The sequence below is a fragment of the Homo sapiens genome, chromosome 5 (assembly GCF_000001405.40).
Source record: "Homo sapiens chromosome 5, GRCh38.p14 Primary Assembly".
Classification (NCBI taxonomy): Eukaryota; Metazoa; Chordata; class Mammalia; order Primates; family Hominidae; genus Homo; species Homo sapiens.
In genome coordinates, this window is record NC_000005.10 from 83291292 (window position 1) to 83314137 (window position 22846).

At 34.3% G+C, this 22846-nt stretch overlaps 1 protein-coding gene across 10 annotated transcripts in view, besides 1 other annotated feature; it reads left to right on the forward strand.

The window, feature by feature from the left end:
- The window catches only part of XRCC4 (X-ray repair cross complementing 4), a 296927-nt gene that overhangs the window by 213745 nt on the left and 60336 nt on the right, over positions 1-22846 (forward strand). For 2 of the 10 annotated variants that reach the window (XM_047417696.1, NM_001318013.2), the window contains exon 8: positions 19498-19777. The exons of the other annotated variants lie outside the window; for them this stretch is intronic. In XM_047417696.1, the coding sequence (XP_047273652.1) occupies positions 19498-19537 (40 nt within the window). In that variant the 3' untranslated portion in view covers positions 19538-19777. Of the gene's footprint in view, positions 1-19497; positions 19778-22846 lie in introns of those variants that run through there. 10 annotated transcript variants of the gene reach the window in all.
- Positions 15633-15772: an enhancer, noted in NCBI's record as "active region_22741". NCBI's record gives its function as "activates an Ori minimal core promoter by ATAC-STARR-seq in GM12878 lymphoblastoid cells {active_cell/tissue: GM12878}" and the evidence as "EXISTENCE:reporter gene assay evidence [ECO:0000049][PMID:35858748]".

A 22846-nucleotide genomic window follows, 5' to 3' on the forward strand; every position in this document is an offset into this window, starting at 1 on the left:
ATGGGAATACTACACTAGGTAATTAGTAAGAGCACTTTCAGCTCATAAATTGTATAATTCTATGTCACAATCCACACTGAGATTATTATCTTTAAAAAATTGGTCATTTTTCTATAAAATTTGCCTGTTTCCTTTGTATATTTTTTCTTTATTTTGAGTTGGAAAGGATAAGAAAGAACAATGAAAAAAATAGTAGCAATGCTTTTCTTAGATCAAAATCTATTAGTGGACTTACATGTAAGCCAGGTAAATAGATGCTTACATAGAATAGCTGGTGGAGCAGCAGAATAGAATATATTCCCTCACACTTCATCTGCTTTTGTGCCACAGTGCTATGTGTGCTCTACTTCTTTAGGTTAAGACAGCTGGGCCTGTTTTTTTCAAATTCATATGTACCTGACTACTTACCGACTTTATCAGCCAAGTCATCTTAATTTATTAGGTGCTTTCCTCTGTAACAGCTCATTTGGAGGCACTATATGTTACAACTTTTGATTTGGACATGATGATAAGAGAAGACAACTGGATTCTGAGGCACTGCTCAGGCAGGGTAAATGTTGACTTCAGATATAGTTCAGATGGATGGATGGATGGACAGATAGATGAGTTATATATATGTTTATATTTATATAAATACTATATATGTTATATGTGTATTTCTGTGTGTGTGTGTGTGTGTGTGTGTGTGTGTGTGTATTTTATGGTGTAGTAGAAAGTGTAGGACTTGAGGACATCTTATAAATGAGATATCAAGAAAGGTGAAGTAAAACCAGCAAGCTTTGTAGAGAAAAAAATGTAAACTTTATTATTTCTTATAGAGCAGCATCTCATAGAGTTTGTTCCTTGATATAGTGAAAATTGCCTGGCAAATAACAGGTTCCCTTGTCATATGCTTTTGGGAAACTTCACAGGCTATAGCCCTTGCCTAAGATTCACGGTGCACATTGTCATGTTGGCATTATTGAACCAACATTTTCCAAATGTGTTTGAATTGAGAACCCCTTTTACTGCAGTGTTTCATGGAATTTTGGAAAACAATGGCCTGAGCAGTTTCTGATTATAATTATTATAGTTTCTGCTAAGTATCCGTCAGTATAATTGGGATTGACTAAATGTTTTTCTGCTGAAGAATTCAGTGTTTCATGTTATTCCTTACCCACAAACTTAAGCTCAAAATCTAATTTAAAACAAATCTTTAAATATACATTTGACTTACCCACTGTTTGTTTTATGGTAATGAAATAGCAATATTCTATTTCATAAATAAAACATTTTGAGTAGTACTATATTCCCCAAATTAATGAAATTATTTAACTTTTGTAAATAAAATTAATGAATAGTTCTGCAAGTTAAACAAAGCAGTAATTTTTCTTTATTCTCACTGTTACAGGCTAGTTAATATCCCAGTAGACTGAATACACAAGAAACTCTTTTTCTTTTTCTTTTTCTTTTTTAACTTAGTTGTTTGAGCAATAGCATATTAACTAAATGATTTTTTATAAATTCATAATTTAATCAGATATGCATTTTTCTTATTTATTTTCTAGATTGGATGACAAAACTATATTTTGGATTTCTCTTAGTTTTTATGAAAAGAAGAAGTTAAGTCTTAATCTTATAGATGTGATGACAGGATAAAATACTCTTAAATCTCTGTATATGGTAATCTAGGTATAATTAGTCACAATTGTCATAAACAATAGAAATAACAGATTTATTATAGACCTTTTTTTTACTTAATGTAATTTTATTTAACAATTATAATTTTACATGTAAATAAGGATGTGGAACTCGGGATTTGTCAGCTGACTAAGCCTACCTTCCCATGGTTTTATTCCCAGGCCACCACACCAGAGACTGTGTCTCTAGCTGTGAACCCTGTAGTAGACATTCTTTACTCTTTCTTATTTACTGCCAGTCATATTTCTCTTATGTATCACCATAATGTCTTTCTTCCCTTCCAAAGGAAATGATATTCTTTTCTATGACCAAAAGTCAGCAACTAACTCCTAGTATAATACTACACTATGCTTAACCTATCAGTGCTTTTCTCAAGTTGGACGTATAGAAGTTACTCACATATATCTGTCATCTCATCCATTCATCCCTTCACATTTCTTCATGTTTCTTTTTTCCTCTTTTCTTTTTCTTTCTTTTTTCTTTTTTTGTTTAAACTGCTCCCTGTTTGAAAATTCTTATTCCTTCACATCTTTTATAATTTAACCCATCAAAAGTTACCTCTTCTAATCAGACTTTCTTGGAAATCATGAGAACAATCTCTCTTTCCTCTTTGAGCTTGTAGGCTGCTAAGCACATCCTCTAATATCGAACCCATTTTGCCCTATATTTATGTATGTGTCTTCCCTCCATTATCAGTTTGTAAATTTCAGGCAGAGATAGCACTCCTGCATTTTCTGTATTTCATGGCACTTAGCATGATACTTGTACATTGAGTGATAGGTGTGCAACAGATATTTTTTGAATTGATAAATGAGTGAATGAATGTGTGTTTATGTCAGATCCTATAAGAAAAAGAATATACAAGTACAGAAGCAATTCTGGTTTTGAACAGAGCAGATTGCAAAAGATACTTTTAAATTAAAACTATAAAAATAACTGATGTATCAGTATTCTTTTAAAAGTTGGTTTTATTTTAAAAATTGTAGATACCAATGACATTAATAGCTAACTAATTCTTCTGGTTTCTTTTAAAATCTCTTTTCCAAAATGTTCAAGGATGTTTGACTTTTGTTTTTTTTTCTCTCTCTTTTAATCATAAATAGGTATAAACAGTGCTTTAAATACTCTGAGTACTAAAGAACAAAATTATGACAAAAAGAAAATGACCATGACTAATTTTCAATACTATCTGTTGGTAGCAACCAGATACACTTGCATTCTAACCAGTGGCATGTATTTGTACAAAAGTTTCTAAGTACACAAGAGGAACTTGCAGGTCATTTTTTGCCAAATAGTATTTTGTGCCAAAGAAATATAATTGAAAGACAATGAGGATGATAGATTCAGTTGTTGAATTTCTAGAAATTTAAAATGTTGGTATTTTGAACAAAAAATATAAAGTTATGAAATAGTTCAAAGATAGAATGATAAAAATAGCTTTACCGATTACTTTAGCTGTATTGTGCTCTGAAAAGTCATGTGCTCCAATTACTCATGACTGTCAGTTAAACTTCGGTGAACTGGCTAAACAAAAATGTTTTAGGAGCATTGGATAGCTATGTAACATTTTACTAAAAAGAATTAGTGTGTCTTATGAGAATTATGGTTGCAGATTGCCATTAGCAGCAAATTCTGTCTACCTCAATAGCTTTTTAGGAATTAATTGAGAAGACTTCTGGTTGCCTTATTAGTTCATAGGCAAATAATAATAAAACTAACATAGTTATGGTTAAAAGATCATGTATCAAAAATAAAACATATAAAATACAATATCAGGGATGAGGCCTGAATTTTAGGTATTCATAATTTACTAGTGATGTATTACTAGTTCATGTAAATTTAGTTAGCTTTTATGATAATGCTTTTTTTCTAGTGCTCACTTTTTAAAGTGTGATTTTATGGAACAAGAGGTTTCTTGGAAGCACCCTGTGGTGATATGATAAAAATCCTTGAATCCATTTAGATAGGTTAATAGCAAAATTAGTAGACAAATAATGCTTCCCTGGAGTTCTGGAGCATCATATCTCAAAGTTTTTTATGTTAAGCATTATATCTTAGAAGATTAGTAAATGCTAAATAAGGAAAAGAGTGAGGAGTTTGCAGACTCTTCAAATATAGGAAACAATGGACTGAGTAAAAGTAAAAGGATTCCTTCTTAAATCTTTTTATATACTAATGTGCATCATGAACTCTCAAGAGGGACATATAGTGAGCAGCACTTTCAAAAATTATTTGACCACCAGACCACTTTTTAACTGAACATCACTACCAGTATGGAACATGTTTTCTGAAACACTGTCCTCCTAAGTGTTTCTAAGTGAGAAAAAAAGAAAAATGATATGCATATAGAATAATCTACCTTACATATCTGTCATAAAATGTTGTATATAATAAGATGCCATGAGAAAAGGCACCCACGTCGTCATCATAGAGCTTACATGTTAGGGGAAAAACTTTATAAATAAGCTGACAGATACAATAAATAATTGTACTCCATGATATGTGCTATGAGGGAAACAAACAGGGAGTTGAGATGGAGAATTGCAGAATGAATCTGCCCTAGGTAAGATGGTCAGGAAGGACTCCAGGCAGGTAATATTTAAGCTGCATGTAAACAGAAAGTACTCATCTTTTTAGGGGTGAGGTATTCCATGAAGAAAGAAGAACATGCAGAGGCTCCAAGGTGGGAAGAAACTGGCCATGTTTAGATAGAAGCATACACAGGAAGTAACACACACACACATGCACGCACACGCACACGCACAAACATGCACATGCACAAGCCTATCTAGCATGGAGAGGTAAGCAGGATCCAGATCATGCAGAGCCTGGATGCCAAAATGAGAGAGTTTGGAATTTACTCTGTATACTTTGGGAAGCTTTTGCAGGGTTTTAAAGAGGGAACTGTGTTATTTGATTTACATCGTGAGAAGATCACTTTTTCTACTCTAAGGTAGATTGATTAAAAGTGGCCAAGAGTAGAACTTTAGAGGACCAGTTAGGAGGCTGTTGTAATCCAGATGAGAGATGAAAGGGATACTGTGTTAATAGACTGAAAATAGAGTTTGATGCTTTCCAGTGGGAGATAAGAGGGAAGCAGCAAATAAGCATGACCTTGATCTCCTTTTCTTCCTCGTCTCTCCTTTCCAAATAGCACAACCAGAGATATTTAACACCACTGCTTTATGCCAAAGTATTAAGTATGTAAGTTACATATCTCTCTTGAGTTTGACTTTATTTGATGTAATGTTTGGAAGACTTCCAAAATGATCAACAGAGACAATGTGTAAAATCTCTTGAAGTCACATTTTCCCTTTGGCCTGTTTTATTCATCCTATTCTGACACTTTAATTTATTTCAACACAGTCTTTCACTTTGAATAAACCTCATTTGCTTTCACCTTAATTATGACAGTCTTGCATAGGACATACAAATGAACAATACATTGATTCTATAAGAAATAAGAATTTCTTTGACAAGGATATGCCACCATGGCATTCTCTGCCATAGCTGTTCTTATTAGTATCATTTACACTAGCCAGATGTTATTTCCCCTAAATTTAAATCATGCTTAATACCATTTATGGACTTTAACTCAATGATAAAAAAATTTATTTATTTTATTTTTTGTGGTACATGAATTATATTTTATTAGATGGAAGGAGGTTGTGAAAGTGAGAGCAGAAATTAAAGTAAAAAACAATTAAAGAAGAGCAATAAATTAAAAATTTGGCCCTCTGGAAAGATTAAAAACATTGTTTTGGTGAGATTTTGAAAGGAAACAAATTTGAAATATGGGAAAAGTAAGTAATATTAGTAAGAAAAAAGTAACAGAGATTAAAATTATAAATAGAGATTACTATGACCATTATATACCAATATATTTGAGTCTAAACAGAATAGACAAATTACTAGAAAAAAATAAGTGAAGAAGCAGTTTAAAATATTCCCATTAAATAGAAACAATTCGGTGCAATCTTACAGACAATTGCCAACAGACTTGCAAAGAATGGATCATTCAGATTGTACAAAAACCTTGAGCAAATAAAGAATGAACATCTTGGATAATAAAGGGAGATAATATTATTAACAGAAAGGAAAATTACAGGGCAATCATATATGCATATAAATGCAGAATTTCCTAACAAAATATAAGTAAACTGAATATGGTAACATTTCAAAAAATAAAACATCTTTACCAATTTGGAATTATACTAAAAGTGTTAGTGTCATTAAATATTATGTAACAGATCAAAATTTAATGATAAAATATTTAAAACAAGACTAAGTTATTGAGGAACCTCTTTCATATTGAGTGTTTGTGCTACACAGAAGTATTGTGAAGATTAATTTTAACTTCACCTATTGAAATTTAAATTACACATACTTTTATATGTTAGCCAAATTTTATGTATATGAGGATTGTAGAGAAGTTAGAGAAGTTTGTTTAGTATTTGCCACATGTGCATTTACAAACTGAATTTCTTCAAAACGCAATGCTTAGGAACATTTTCTCTTGAGTTTTCTATGATTATTAAATGAATACACCAATACATATTTTAAATAGCTATTAATATCAGTTAACAGAAATAACAAGTATTTTTGTTTTGGAGCTTGGTCGTGAAGAAGAAATACCTAATAGTGAAATTTATTAAATTTTAAACAATATTATAGAGTAAGATTATATAATGCTTTAAAAGTAAACTTAGATATATGTGACTTAAGTATAATAGTAGGCCTAGTTTTTGTTATTTCTCTTTGGTACTGAAATTGTTAAATAGGAACATGAATATATGTGAAGATATGTCTTTTCATGCACGCTTCAAGTTCTCATTATTTCTCATCTTATTTATTATCTTTTACTCCTAATGCAGCTCTCTGCTCCCATCTCTAAGCAAGTCTCCACCTTGCTGCCAAAAACAGCAGATTAACAGAATCATTAACAAAAGATTTTGTCTTTCTAAAAATTTATGCCATTCCCATTTGAAATGTATTCAGTTTAAAATACAAACTTTTTCTCTTGCTGTGTAGGACCTTTTAATGCATCATTTCTTTATGCCTCTGCCTTACACAGCAGAAGCATATTATCATTATCATTACCATTTTGCACTTTAGGAGATTGAAGCTTAGAGAGGTTAAATAAGTTCAACAAAGTCGTAAAGCACATAAATGACAGTATAAATTACACACTGTATGAATCCAGTCCTTTGAAGTTTGTTGAAAACCGTCTATGGCACCATAAATGTTCTATGTGTGTTGAAAAAAAAAAACTGTCTACAATTGGGTGGAGTTTTATATATATATGTATTTTTTTCAGTTGATCAAATTTATTACTCTTGTTATTAAGATTTTCTGCTTTCTACCCATTTCCCTCTGTTTATCCTATGAAAAGAAATTTGGTAAAATCACCCTTATCTCTTTATAGTTGTCAATCTAAGGCTGTATAATTTGATCACAGAGTTTTATCTTCCTGAAGAAGAGAATCTTTCATTATTATAAAATGACTCTCAGTATTTCTCATGTTTTTATCTCAGTCTGTTTAATCTGATACTAATATAGCCACATGAGCATTCTTTTGATTAGTGTTTCCCTGGTATATCTGTTTATTCACCCTTGTTACTTTTCTACTTTATGTGTCCTTACATTTTAGAAATCTCTCTGGCATAGTACATTAAATGGATTTTTTTTTAATCTCATCTAGTAGTTTTTATCTTTTCTATTTTGGAGGAAATACATTGTTTCTCTTCTTTTAGTATCTACTCTTAAATTACAACATGTTCTCTTAACTTATGAAAGTATAAAGTCAACCAAGTACCCTTTGCTCTTGTCAGACAACAAACAGGAGTCTTCTGATTTGGAAGACATTAATTCCTTTAAATGTTAGCTCCCTTAACTTCCTTTAATTCCAAGTAACCTGCTAACTTTTATGTTATTTTTATGTCCTTGGAGAAAGTTTAATTAATTCTGTCTGTTTCTAAAGAATAAGACATTCTTATTGTTATTTTATATAGTCAATGCTCATTTTAATTTATCTGAAAATTTATAGCTTTCATTTTTTTTCTCCTTGCTTTTTAGCCTTATTATCCTAGATTATTTTACATTTGCATGAAGTACATTCTCTAGAGTTTCCTTCAATGAAGTTCCACTGGAAGCAAACTTCCCAATCTTAGTGAACTGAAAATATTTTTATTTTACTTTTGATTTTTGGAAAAAATTCTACTGGAGCTAGAATTCTGAGTTATTTCTTTCAGCATTCAAAGATTTAATTTCATAGGAAGTTGAGAAGTTGGCCAACAGTTTCACAATCACTCCTTTGGCGGTAATCCATCTTTTCTTACTGGCTATTTTTAAGATTGCTCTTATGTCTTTGGTGTTCTGAAGCTTCGACATGATACAACAAAATGTAGGTTTCTTTTTAGTTATTTTGCTTGCAATTTGTGATTTTTGAGGTGAAGGTTTGGTGAAATTCATCAGTTCTGAAAATTTCTCAGCCATTTTTTGTTAAATAGCCCTTCTGCCTCATTCTCTCTGTCCCTTCCTTTGTAACTCCAATTAGACTTATGTTATATCTTCTCACTCTGTTTTCCATGTATTTTAACCTCTCTTTTATGTTTGTTACTCTGACTTTTTATGTTGAATTCTCCATAATTCTTCTAGCCTTTCTTTCAGTTTTCTAATTATCTCTCAAATATGAGCAACTAATCTCTATTAAACTTGACCATTCCATTTTGAATTTCAAGTATCATGTTTTATTTTTAGATATTACGTGTTGTTTTCAAATGTGCTTTGTCATTTTTATAGTTTCCTGTTATCATTTTAAGCTTATCTTTTATTTCTTTAAGTATCATCAACATGGTTATTTTATTGCTGTCTCTGTTAGTTATAATATTTGAAATCTTCACCACCAACTTTTGTTGCTTTTGTTTCTACTATTCTTACTTATGTGCTTTGCCTCTTTATGAGTGAAGTGATTATTTATTATGTGATAGCCATTTCATGGAAAATTACTTGTGGAGATTCTTTGAGGCTTAGTATGAAGATGTTTTTCCTGAAAAATATTTGTCTTTGCTACTGCTTTGTACGTACACTATGGGACCACTTCAATGATTTGAGGTTGTTTTGTTTTAAAACTACATGAATTATATTAATTTGGGCTGCAAACATATCCAAGTGATTTGCAAACATACTTTTTGGTTACAAAGTGAGTCAGTAGTGTCCCACCTTTATAGATGGTCTCCTATTAGACTCTCCACTTTAGACAGGCCCTAGGCTTTGTCTCTCCCTGATGTGCTTCCCAAGTCTGTAAAAATACCTCACTAGCTCTCCAGTGCTATTAAGAAAAAAAAAGTGTATGTATGTTCTCTTTCTCTCTCTCTTTCTCCAATTTTAGATATTTTAAGCAGGAGATATTAGCTGAACACCTAACCTTTTATATAATTGGATGCAAGCATTCAATTTCATAAGCTTCTGAAACTTAGCAAGAATAGTACTAAAAGTATAACATAGAATAACCTTATGGGCAAAGTTTATTAAATGGATATAGCTGATTATGACACACTAATTTTATCTTTTGTTTGTGTGTGTGTGTGTGTGTGTGTGTGTGTGTCCCTTTTTTTTTTTTTCATTATACTTTAAGTTCTGGGATACATATGCAGAACATGCATGTTTGTTACATAGTATACATGTGCCATGGTGGTTTGCTGCACCCATCAACCGGTCATCTACATTAGGTATTTCTCCTAATGCTATCCCTCCTCTTGCCCCCCACCCCCCAACAGGCCCCGTTGTGTGATGTTCCGCTCCTTGTGCCATATGTTCTCATTGTTCAACTTCCACTTATGAGTGAGAACATGCAGTGTTTGGTTTTCTGTTCCTGTAGTAGTTTGCTGAGAATGATGGTTTCCAGGTTCATCCATGTCCCCTGCAAAGGACATGAACTCATTCTTTTTTATGACTGCATAGTATTCCATGGTGTATATGTGCCACATTTTCTTTATCCAGTCTATCATTGATGGGCATTTGGGTTGGTTCCAATTCTTTGCTATTATGAACAGTGCTGCAATAAACATATGTGTGCGTGTGTCTTTATAGTGGAATGATTTATAATCCTTTGGGTATATACCCAGTAATGAGATTGCTGGTCAAATGGTATTTCTGGTTCTGGATCCTTGATGAATCGCCACACTGTCTTCCACAATGGTTGAACTAATTTACACTCCCAGCAACAGTGTAAAAGTGTTTCTGTTTTGCCACATCCTCTCCAGCATCTGTTGTTTCCTGACTTTTTAATGATCACCATTCTTACTGGCGTGAGATGGTATCTCATTGTGGTTTTGATTTGCATTTCTCTAATGCCAGTGATGATGAGCTTTTTTTCTATGTTTGTTGGCCATATAAATGTCTTCTTTTGAGAAGTGTCTGTTCATATCCTTCACCCACTTTTTGATGGGGTTGTTTTTTTCTTGTTAATTTGTTTGAGTTCCTTGTAGATTCTGGATATCAGACCTTTGTCAGATGGATAGACTGCAAAAATTTTCTCCCATTCTGTAGTTTACCTGTTCACTCTGATGATAGTTTCCTTTGCTGTGCAGAAGCTCTTTAGTTTAATTAGATCCCATTTGTAAATTTTGGCTTTTGTTGCAATTGCTTTTGGTGTTTTAGTCATGAAGTCTTTGCCCATGCCTATGCCCTGAATGGTATTGCCTAGGTTTTCTTCTAGGGTTTTTATGATTTTAGGTTTTACATTTAAGTCTTTAATCCATCTTGAGTTAATTTTTGTATAAAGATATAAGGAAGGGGTCCAGTTTCAGTTTTCTGAATATGGCTGGCCAGTTTTTCCAACACCATTTATTAAATAGGGAATCCTTTCCCCATTGCTTGTTTTTTCAGGTTTGTCAAAGATCAGATGGTTGTAGATACGTGGTGTTATGTCTGAGCCCTCTGTTCTGTTCCATTGGTCTGTATATCTATTTTGGTACCAGTACCATGCTCGTTTGGTTACTGTAGACTTGTGGTATCATGGCTTTGTTTACCCTGTGAGGGGAAAACCGCCTACTCAAGCCTCAGTAATGGCAGATGCCCCTCCCCCTACTAAGCTCGAGCGTCCCAGATGGACTTCAGATGACTATTCTGGCAGCAAGAATTTCAAGCCAGTGGATCCTAGCTTGCTGGGTTCCGTGCGGGTGGGATCCGCTGAGCAAGGCCACTTGGCTCCCTGGCTTAAGCCCTTTTTCCAGGGAAGTGAATGATTCTGTCTCTCTGGTGTTCCAGGAGCCAATGGGGTACCAAAAAAAAAAAAAAATAGCTTGGTGTCTGCTCACATGACCACCCAGTTTTATGCTTCAAACCCAGGGCCATGGTGGTGTAGGCACCCGAGGGAATCTCCTGGTCTGCAGGTTGCGAAGAACATGGGAAAAGTGTAGTGTCTGGGCTGGAGTGCACCCTTCCTCATGGCTTCCCTTGGCTAGCGGAGGGAGTTCCCCGATCCCTTGCGCTTCCCAGGTGACACAATGCCCCACCCTGCTTCAGCTCTCCCTCTGAGGGCTGCACCCACTGTCTAACCAGTCCCAATGAGATGAAACGGGTACCTCAGTTGGAAATGCAGAAATCACCTGGCTTCCGCTTGGTCTCAATGGAAGCTGCAGACAGGAGCTGTTCTTATTCGGCCATCTTGCCTGGAAACCCTCAATTTTATGTTTAATAGAAAACAAAGATTTTATTCACGGAGAACAGCTCATTAGGGTTCTTGGGATGAGGAGGAATAACATCAATTACAAATATAATAATAGCTAACACTATTAAGGATTTGCAGTGTAACAATTTCTCAAAGTGCTTTACATTTGTTACGTTTTTTAATCCTTATAATAATTCAATGGGATAGTTAATATTTGTATCCCCATTTTATATATGAGGAGACTGAGGCACAGAGTCACAAATAATAAATAGTACAAAAGATGTCAGGCCGGGCGCAGTGGCTTACGCCTGTAATCCCAGCACTTTGGGAAGCTGAGGCGGGTGGATCACTTGAGGTCAGGAGTTCGAGATTAGCCTGGCCAACATGGTGAAACCCCGTCTCTGCTGAAAATACAAAAATCAGCTGGGTGTGGTGGCACAAGCCTGTAGTCCCAGCTACTTGGGAGGCTGAGGCAGGGGAATTGTTTGAACCTGGGAGGCGGAGGTTGCAGTGAGCCAAGATGGTGCCACTGCACTCCAGCCTAGGAGACAGAGCAAGACTCCGTCTCAAAAAAAAAAAAAAAAAAAAAGATGTCAAACTTGGGTAGTAAGAATCTAAAGTACTCTATATTAAGAATCTAAAGTATATTGTTGCCCTAGCTGTAAAATTAAGTGAAAGATATTTTTATTTATGCGCAGAGAAAAGTTTCAAATATATCTTATAGGGGATAGGATTAAACCAAAACATTTGTACATTTGTAAGAACAGTTATCCTGTAGTGTGGGAGCCATCACATAAGATCACATAAATGTTGGTTGGTGAATGAATGCTTTTATTATGAGAAATACTAATGACAATTGTGGTGGTATAATAATAAATTATAAGGAAAGTAGTAACAACAATTTACAATTCTTCCAAATTGTAAAAGAGAGAGATTACTCTTATAGTAAATCTTTCTAAAAATGAGTCAATTAAAATATATTTAATTTCATGCCTCTATAACTTCCAAAACTCAAATACTGTATAATGTAGTAAAAAATACAAATAATACAACAGCAAATTCACTTAGAGAGGCAGCACCACATAGACTACTTATATTTAGGTAATGTTATATGGAATAAACTGAGGAAGAAAGATCTAAGATAATGATCCAAATGAGTGTAATTTCTAGCTCAAAAAATGGTTACAAATATTATTATAGAAAACATTGACAATATTTGTAGATGCATGGCAAATAAGGGAACAGTTTTTGAAAATATGGTAAAACTAATGACTTTGCACTCAACTACAGTCAACTCTTAATTAACTGGCCTAATTAGGGTGAGGTGAGGAATAGATAAACAGAAAATCACAGATTACCTAGAAGTGGTTAAAACAAAAGTAATTTAAAATATGACATAAGTAAATTTTTTAATAATCTAGTATTTTGGAACACAGTTCACAGATATGATCTGAAACTGTAAAAGTAATACAAGTACTTTTATTTAAGATCACATGAATCATCTGCCCAAAATTACTGGGCTGTTAAACAACTTTTTTTTTTTTTTTTTTTTTGAGACGGAGTCTCACTCTGTCACCCAGGCTGGAGTGCAGTGGTGCAATCTTGGCTCACTGCAACCTCCGCTTCCCAGGTTCATGTGATTCTCCTACCTCTGGAGTAGGTGGGATTACAGGAGTGCCCCACCGCACCCAGCCTTAAACAGCTTCTTGGTAAAGATCTTCGTATTCATCAGACTTGAGTTAACCAGACACATGACTCTTTTCTCTTTATTTGCTCTCTTACCTGAATTCTACCAAAATCCTTTGCTCTGTGATATTAGAATACACCTATAAGGCTGTATTAGGCACCTCTGTGTCATCTATTGGTTACTACAAATGTCTTTTGACATGTGGGTATTTTATTGATGTATAGAATTTTAATGTGTTCACAAATCTACTCTCTGTGATTATTACTTTAGTTATCTTCTACCAGAAAATGAAGATTTGAGTATCCATACAAACATGTAGTCATTTAGAGAAACTCTTGGTCAAATTTACCTTTGCTTTGCTTCTGTAAAATTTATCTATAAATTTTCCATGTTATTGATTTTTTCATAAGTTTAATAGATAAGACTGCAATCTAATTCTGTATTTAGTTGGATAGGACTAATTTGCTTTGTTTCTTCTAAAGCACTCAAATTGGCTAGTATATCTACCTAAAAATATCTGCTAAATTGAATTACTAAACTGAAGTTGTTGAATTTCTGAGTTACAAAATAAAATTAGAAGCAAACAAACTCTCATGTCTTGGTACCATTTTATAGTTATTGGGAAGAAAAATAAAGTTTCAGTAATTTAGTTTTAGTTACCTGAGCAAGGTCTCCCAGAAGCAACTCAGTAGAGCTAAGACTAGAAATCAGGTAAGAACTCTTATGTTAGTGTTGTTTCATATCCTATCGGCATTTTCAAATTTTTTTATAATAAGCTTTATTTTTAGAACAGTTTTAGATTTACAAAAAAGTTGAGAACATAGTACAGAGTTCCCATATACCTCATACTCAGTTTCTCTTATTATTAAAATCTTACATCAGTGTGGTATATTTACTACAATTAGTGAACCAATATTAATACACTATTGTTAACTAAAGCCCACAGTAACTTCAGGTTTTTTTTTGTTTTATCTAATCCAGATCAATTTTACAAGATGTTTATGAGTGTTGTTGGGGCAGAGGGAGAAAAATGTATCTTGTGGTAAAATAAATTTAAGAAATGCTAAGTAAAAATTAGACATATTTCTTACCTGAAAAATTCAGAGCCTTTAAGATGTATAATTTAAATCTCAAAGTAGAGTCTAAAATGTGTTATGTTTCCCAAAATGCTTGGGTAACTGAACTTTTATTATATAGAACACTTCAAAGAACTTCTGTTCTGAGGAATACCCTTTGGAAAATTCTGCACTACACTATGGCCCATGATATTAACTTAGACTGGATTAATTTAGATATAAAATTGGTAAAACTCAATTTCATTAAGATAATCTCTTAAAGGATGGCTGAGAAAGTGTTTAGTTCCTAGAGGTGGCTATTGAATGAAGGTTAAATCTACTCTCCTGACCCAGCTCCATGGTAACTAACTCTTCTTGATGTTTTACTCTCTGACTGTAGCTAGAGCTTAATTATACAAAGTCTCAACAATTAAACATTCAAACATAATCCATTAAAAGAGAGAAAGATGATATCAAGTATTTTTTAAACGAAAAATATCCATGGAATTTTAGAATAATCTCTTCAGAATCACAGCACAATGAGAACTCATTCTCAGGATGGTCACCAAAGATGTTACATTTTGATCTGCAGCTTCTGTTTATCAAGTCAGGAAAGTATAAGGATATATTTTGCAATAGTTTTTAGGCAACAGTTTTTGCTCAGTTATCCAGTTTTAAAAAATACTGTTAACTATACCAAGGTTAGCCCAGAACATTTTAGTGAATTCTCTACTGAAGGTTGCAGATTTCTAGTGAATAGAAACATGTGGTCCTCATCAAGTAGTTATGATACCTATGTGGACTGATGCATAATCAGTACTTTTATATATATATATACACACACACAAACAGATATACATACATATTCATGAAGATCACAGAGCAGAAAAATGAGTAGTTACGAAAAACCATAGAATTTGCCATCACATTAAAATTTACCCAATATTAATTCATCATTTGTATGTTCATCTCACTTCAAATACAAAGAGAAAAACATTTCAGTATATAAAATCAGAGAACATTATTGAATTTCATGTGAGATTTTCTAGCCACATTTTAAAATAGGGCAAAACAATAGAAACATTCAACTTATCAAGTAAATCTCAGAATTGTATACTTTTCCCAAGAATGACTTTTAAAGCACCAAATAATTAAGATGTTATGTTAACATGAATAATTTCATAAGCAAATGGAAACCACAGAAATGCAGTAATACAGTTCTCAGCCATTGTTGTTTGATAATTTGCATGGTTTAGGCTTTTCAAATTAAGCAATACATAGCATTGATGAAGAGTGGATGATGTGAGCAGAGCCACACAAGCACTGTCCCTCCCTGACTCCAGCAATAAGACTGATCGGGCAACAGGAACCTGCCTCAGTGAAGTGCTTTAGCCCGGGCAGTGACTGCATTAGAGATGCTGGAAACTCTGACTCATGTTTTTGTGGCTTCTTTTCCCCTCTCTTGAGGCACAGAATAGAACAGAACAGAGAACAGAAAGCAGAAAGAAAAGGGGGGAACAGAGGAAGGGAAATTTCATAACTCTCTAGAATATTTCATTGTTCAACTGTGGTCATACCTTATTTCCATGGGAATAAGTAGTCTGAGTTGGTTGTGCTTGGGATTCAGAGCCTCTACTACGCCAGAGTAAGCACACACTTCACCTTTCCCCTGTTAACATAGTCTAGCCTCACCCTGGCCAAATATTGAAAAGTACAAGACTTCTTTCTAAAGTATCTGAATCCAGTGCACACTTTCTTGCTAACAGACAAATTCTCTAAGTGCTGAAGGAATTCTGATGGGGTTTTTAATTTTATTAATTCAAACTAGTAATGTTTACTCATTTGTTCTAGACAGTGATCATACATTGTTCCTGCCAATTGTTTGATGCTTGGAGGGGCAGAGTCATAGAGAATAGGTAATATTTCTATCTATGGCCCTTCCATAAACAGTTCTGACAGATTCCACACTATATTCAACACTCAGGGGCTGCCAGCTTTCCCTAATATAGCTCCCTGAATATACTTACAGTTTAGCTGAGGGATTAACAAATTCACAAAATCTATATTTCTTAAGGCAAAATAGGATTTGTGTCTTAAGAGAACTATAAAGAGAATGCTTTTTAATTGAAAGTCTTTTAAGAGACTCGTAAGCAGAGTGTCACAGACCAAGGTTGGAAGCCACATTTAGTTGTGATTATCAGAAAGCTTTACATCCAAGTGGTAAGAATCTTGAGTTGGTGAATGGTGGAAGCAAGGCAGAATCCCTGACAGAGAATGACAAATTCAGAAGCACAGAGATAGAAAGAAAAAACAATTATTTAGGAGCAGAAAGCATTTATTTTTAGTTGGAACATAGCATGTACTGGGAAGGTTGAGAGAGAGAACTGGAAAAGTAAGGTGAGAGCAAGGGAGCATTTTATGTATACACCTGTTTACTACATGTACATACTGTAAATATTGGCTTTCTAGAACCATATGGAATTCCAGACGGAAAATTCCAGATGAAATAATCAAATAGCTTAGCGTTAACACTAAATGATTGAACTTTATATTTTCAGTTTTGGGACAAAAGTTTTTATGAAGCACACAATATACTCTGTATCTTACCAGAACATATTATATATTCCTCTTCCATGGAGCCCTAAAAATTCCTCAAATGTATTTTGGAGGACCAAGAAAAAGTTGTTAAATGAGAGAATGTTCCTCCTATTGCCTCTCCCTCATTCCCAGGGCAGTTCAACTTTTTACTGTTTTGCTTGTTAGAAGATATCTACAATATTTCATTTGAAGAAAGTGTTCCATCAATAAAACAAAGCTTGAGCCCTGTAAGAAATTCTTGTGTAGTCATATTACTAAGAAAGTACTTAATCATTCTCAGCATTCCATTTCATTTAATATAATAGACATAAATATCATGGAGAGATGAATGGATAGAAACAAGCACATGGATGGAGAGAAATAATAGTATTTGGTGTGGGATCTTTTCATGAAAAGTTGTGTATGCAGGAATAAGTTAATAACATATTATAAAATTGGGCCACTTTTAACCATTTATATTTTGGGGGGAATAGAAATCTTATTTTATACGTGGATTTAGCCATTTACAAAATAACTTCCCAGGTTCTTAAGAAAGATCAGTGCCAAATTTTCTCTACACTTTTGTACAGGTTTTGTCCTTAATTCAAAGGCTCCCTTTAAAAATATTCCTCTTTACATTCTAAGAACATGTAGGTACTTGTAATATTTGGCATGTGTTTTACCTAACAAACAGAAAAGGATTCTTATTAAATATATATTTCCCAAAATTAAAATAACAGTGAATATAATTCTAGTTATATTTTTAAAATAAAATGTTTCAAACTAACATTTACTCTTTATATAATCACAAATCACTCATTAATATTTAGATTGCACAATTATTTAATATTTGTCCTATTTAGTCTCAATTCATAATTATTTCTGTTATCTAATATTTTTAATCCAAATATCCAAATTCCATTTCAAATTTTTATACTCGTGTAGGAATTCATGACATGAGAACCATATTTTTCATTTATTGCACAGCAAGGAACAAATCCTTAGAGAATATCATCCATAGAAATATAATTTGCAGCCCAGCACGGTGGCTCACGCCTGTAATCCCAGCACTTTGGGAGGCTGAGGTGGGTGGATCATGAGGTCAGGAGATCGAGACCATCCCAGCTAACATGGTGAAACGCTGTCTCTACTAAAAATACAAAAAATTAGCCATGCACGGTGGTGGGTGCCTCTAGCCCCAGCTACTCGGGAGGCTGAGGCAGGAGAATGGCATGAACCCGGGAGGCGAGCCAAGATCATACCACTACACTCCAGCCTGGGTGACAGAGCGAGACTCCGTCTCAAAAAAAAAAAAAAAAAAAAAAAAAAAAAAATATATATATATATATATATATATAGGCTATGCTGGCAATCACATTAATTTAACAAATATTGAAATATCGACACTGAAATTTTCACTGGGCTTTATTAAGCCATTTCTATTAACATTTAAGGGAATGTGGTTTCCATATGCTTTTGAACAGAATTATATGTGGGTCTTCTAGAAAATGGATTAGGCTGGGCGCGGTGGCTCACGCCTGTAATCCCAGCACTTTGGGAGGCCAAGGCGGGTGGATCACGAGGTCAGGAGATCGAGACCATCCTGGCTAACACGGTGAAAACCCGTCTCTACTAAAAATACAACAAAAAATTAGCCAGATGTGGTGGCGGGCGCCTGTAGTCCCAGCTACTCAGGAGGCTGAGGCGGGAGAATGGCGTGAACCCGGGAGGCGGAGGTTGCAGTGATCGCGCCACTGCACTCCAGCCTGGGCGACAGAGTGAGACCCGTCTCAAAAAAAAAAAAAAAAAAAAAAAAAAGGGATTAAGGTTTTAGGAACAAAAGGGATTTTTAAAATATACCATCTATCACATCTCTGCAGTTGTTGACTGGAATAAGTACAATGTGAAAGTACCACAAGTTAGTAAGATTTTAAAAACTAATCTTTATGTTATGGGACATTTAGAGAAAACATAAACGTGTTCAAAATATTCTTTTATGCTTAATAGTATACATTTTCTTTTAGTATATTCAGGAATGACAAATAATTAACTACCGGTGAATATAAAATAGAGTGTCTGACCTCAGGAGCTTACATTCCTGTTGGGGATAAAAGATGTAGTCATATTTAAAGATAACTGCCCAAGATCTTATATCTTATGCGGTAAAGGCATCTGGCTACAGGATCTCAAAAATCCCTTTAAGCTGAAGTGATGGGGGAAGATTTTAGGAAGCAGTAAGAATATTTTTTGGTCACTGCATTAATGGGAGAGGACTGAAGCTGTAAAGAGGAGGAGGAGGCCATTCAACTAAGAGGAGCAAGATGAGCCAAAGTAGGGAGGCTGGATCTACTCCATGTGTTTACTAATTTGTCGAGGCTTGATTGGCTCCAGTGAGAGGTTTCTCTAGGAGAACAGCAAGAGTCAGAGCTAAATAAGGAGGATGGGCCAGATATGGAGAGGGTGATCAAGAAAAAGAGCCTCCTGGCAGTACTATAAGTTTCATTATTATTATATAATATTTTCACATTTATTCTGTGTACCTTTCTGCGGCAAACAGAATAAGCTTCCCCATCTCCCTCAGAAAAGCCATCAATTTCCATTTAATGCCTGGAATCTATGGTGACATGTGAAAGAGGAAGGCATAATGCGATAGGCTGAATAATAGTCGCCAAAGATAATCAGGAGTGACTCCCTAGAATCTGTGAATGTTAGCTTTTACGGTAAAACGTATTTTGCAGCTGTGATTAAATTAAGTATCTGAGATGCAGGGGTTATTCTGGATTATCTGGATGAACCCTAAATGCAATTATAACTTTCCTTATTAGAGGGAGGAAGAAGGAGACTTCAGAGAAAGAGGCCGTGTGATGGAAGCAAAATCAGAGAGAAAAGATGCTAAGCTGCTGCCTTTGAATAAGGAGGAACGTGAGCCAACAGATCCAAGAACTGAAGCTCTAGGCAGTGGAAAAGCCAAGGAAACTGATCTTCCCTTCGAGCCTCCGGAGGGAGTGTAGCCCTGCCAACACCTTTATTTTAGCCCCATAACAGTCATTTCAGACTTGTGGCCTCCAGAATTTTAAGAGAATAAATTTTTATTGTATTAAGCCATCAAGTTTGTGGTAGTTTGTGGTAATTTAGCCATAAGAAACTAATACACATAAGGAATTTGATGCTCATAAAGTCATAGGAAAGCCAGCACTGGGCTCTAGCAGGCCGGTGAGAGTGATCCACATTGGCTGCCATTAGAACACAAGAAGCCGGAGGATGAAGAGAGGTTGATTGATGGGTACAAGCACACAGTTAGGTAGAAGAAATAAGACGTAGTGATCAAAAGATCACCAGGGGACTATAATCAACAATAATCTATTGTAATTTCAAAATAGCTAGAAGAGAATTAATTTGAATATTCCTAGCATTAAGAAAAGACAAATATTTATGGTGATGGATATCTAAATTACCCTAATTTGATCTTTATACATTATATGAATGTATCAAATTATCACATGTATACCCAAAATATATACATCTATTACGTATCAATTAAAAAATAGAAAAAAATCCTTAGAACCTTTGGCCACAGGAAATGAAATATTTTAATTTCAATTTATAAATATATTTTGTGGCAGAGAAGTATAATAATGTCAGCAATAAAAGACTTTCAACCATAAAAAAATTACCAACAAAATTTATCATCTAGTCATTTTGGTAGAGTTTCTCATGGAGCAAACATCAGAACAAAAAGTTGTATCTGTATCTGTTTTATATATATTATTAAACTCTTAAAATAATGCATACCACTATTTTGTGCACACTAATTTAAGTAGGCCCTTTATTCCAGATATAGTTTCTGTACCTATTTCTTCTTTATAATAAAGGCTATTTATTAAATATTCAATATAATATCAATAATTCATATAGCCTTTTAATATATTTTATAAAAGATTCATAAATATGGAAAGAAAGTCTTTTGTGAAACTGAAAAATGTAAAAGAACGCAAGAAGCCATGCTCTAATACAGTCACCAGGAAGCTCCTCTGCATGGCAGCCTCAAAATTGGTAAAGGGGCCTGGGAACATATATTCTGCCACCACCTCTACCACAACTGCCTCTTGCCACACAGAAAGCTGAAGAATAGGCACAGAAATCTGCTACAGAAAACCCTCTCATATTCTATCAAGACTTTGCTTGTTGGGGCTAAAAAACAAAAACAGTAAAATGAGTTAAGAGGATACCCTTTGCCTTACTTTCACCTTCAAAATATCTCAATAATTTCACAGAGGAGACTGAGAAATACAATTTTTAGCTTTCCAGTTTCTACAGTAGCAAAAATCATCCTAGAAAGAGAGTGTAATGAAAGAGGAGCAGGTAAATCCACAGAATTTACACAAAGAGTTTGAGGTTATTAGACCACTCTAGGCACTATCATTCCCTATGTTTTTATAGAATTACTTTCTAAGCAATATAAATTAATAGAATTAACCATGGAGAGATCACCTGTTGTGTGAGGAGCATCATATTAGGTCAAGATGGGAAGATACATTAAGAAAGCCTTAACTTCTGCTCTCTAAGAGAGTACCTTAATACAGAAACAGAACTGATACCTGCATAGGGTTAATACAAATTAAATTATGTTTAGGAATGCTCCGTGATAAAAATGAGTTGGAAATGAATTTAGGAATTTTTCACATGGGAGGAGAGTTTTGAAAGAAGAGGCTTTCTCTGAGAGGAGAGGGAAATGCATTTCTGGGTGGTAGAAGACAGCTTATTGGCAGTATGGAGGCAGGAGTGAATGTGTTCATATGTGTGATTATAGTTGGTTGGTACAGGAGTCAGCATGGAGAAGTTGTGGAAATGAGAGTGCTAAGATGCACGTAGTTGCTAAGTAGCCAAGAAGCTCAAATTGAGGAACTGATTTTTCTTAGTGAAATTGTCTTGACTTTAGTAAAGTCATTGGACTAGGCTCTGATAAAGGAAGTTAGGAAACAGAACACTTGCAAAATTCATTTTGCGGATGCTGAGTTGGCACTCAAAGGGCAAAAGGCAAAACTCTTAAATCTACTGCTGATGAGATTTGACAGAAACCATGCCAAAAAATGTCTCTTTTTTCTTTTCTTTTCTTTCTTTTTTTTTTTTTTACAATAAAAGTAACAATACAGGTGGTCAAAAAAACAAAAACCATGGTATAGAAAAACCATAAATTGAAAAGTAAAAGCTTTTCTTATATTCCACCCTGCCTCTGAATCTTCTGTCCTAAAGATTGCTGCTATTAACTTTCTTACGTATCCTTTAGAAAGCACTTTTCTGACATAAGGATCATGTATTAATGTACACAGAAGGGATCATGATATATGCACAGTACTGTCCCTGTCCATTGAAATCTTCTAATAGACAACACATTTACATCTAACCCATTCTTGGTAATGAGATTTCAAAAAAATCTCGTTGTATAGACTTTCCATAGTACATGTAACCAGTTTACTGCTGTAGGATATTTATTGGGTTTTTTCCCCCCAGTTTTTACCTATTTGCCCCATTTACCTCTCCTGGCTCACATCTGATTACAGCATGATTTACTCAATATATTAGGCCTACTGTGGAGACATACTGCTCAGAAAAAAAAGATTCCTTTCATACTTTTCTCCCCAACACTAACTCTGCTCCAGCCACGCCAATCTCTTACATATTTGTCTAACACATCAGCTGTAATCCTGCTTTTTGCACGAGCATTCCTCTGCCTGGAATACTCTTTAGATATTGACTTGCTTCCTCCTTCACACCTTAGTTTCTGTTCCAACTTCTCAGTGAAGCTATTCTTGATCACAGTATTTAATATTGTAACCCCATCCCACTCCTAATATAATTCCCTTTAAAATTTTTCTCTGTAGACCATATCAGTCTCTAAAATATTATATTCTAATTGATTGTACTCGTCTCTTTTCATTAAAATATAAGTTTTATAAAGACAGTAATGTTGTATGTTATTTAATTACTACATAGCTTTCTGAGTAAAGAATTTCTAGACATCTTGTGTCCAACCAAGAACACAATCTTTACATCTTATTCTTCATTAATATTATTTTATTATTATTTAATCTCATTCTTGCTTCAAATACCTCCCCTTTCATTCTCAGATATATCCTAGCACTATAGATTTTTCCTTTAATAAATGTTACTTCA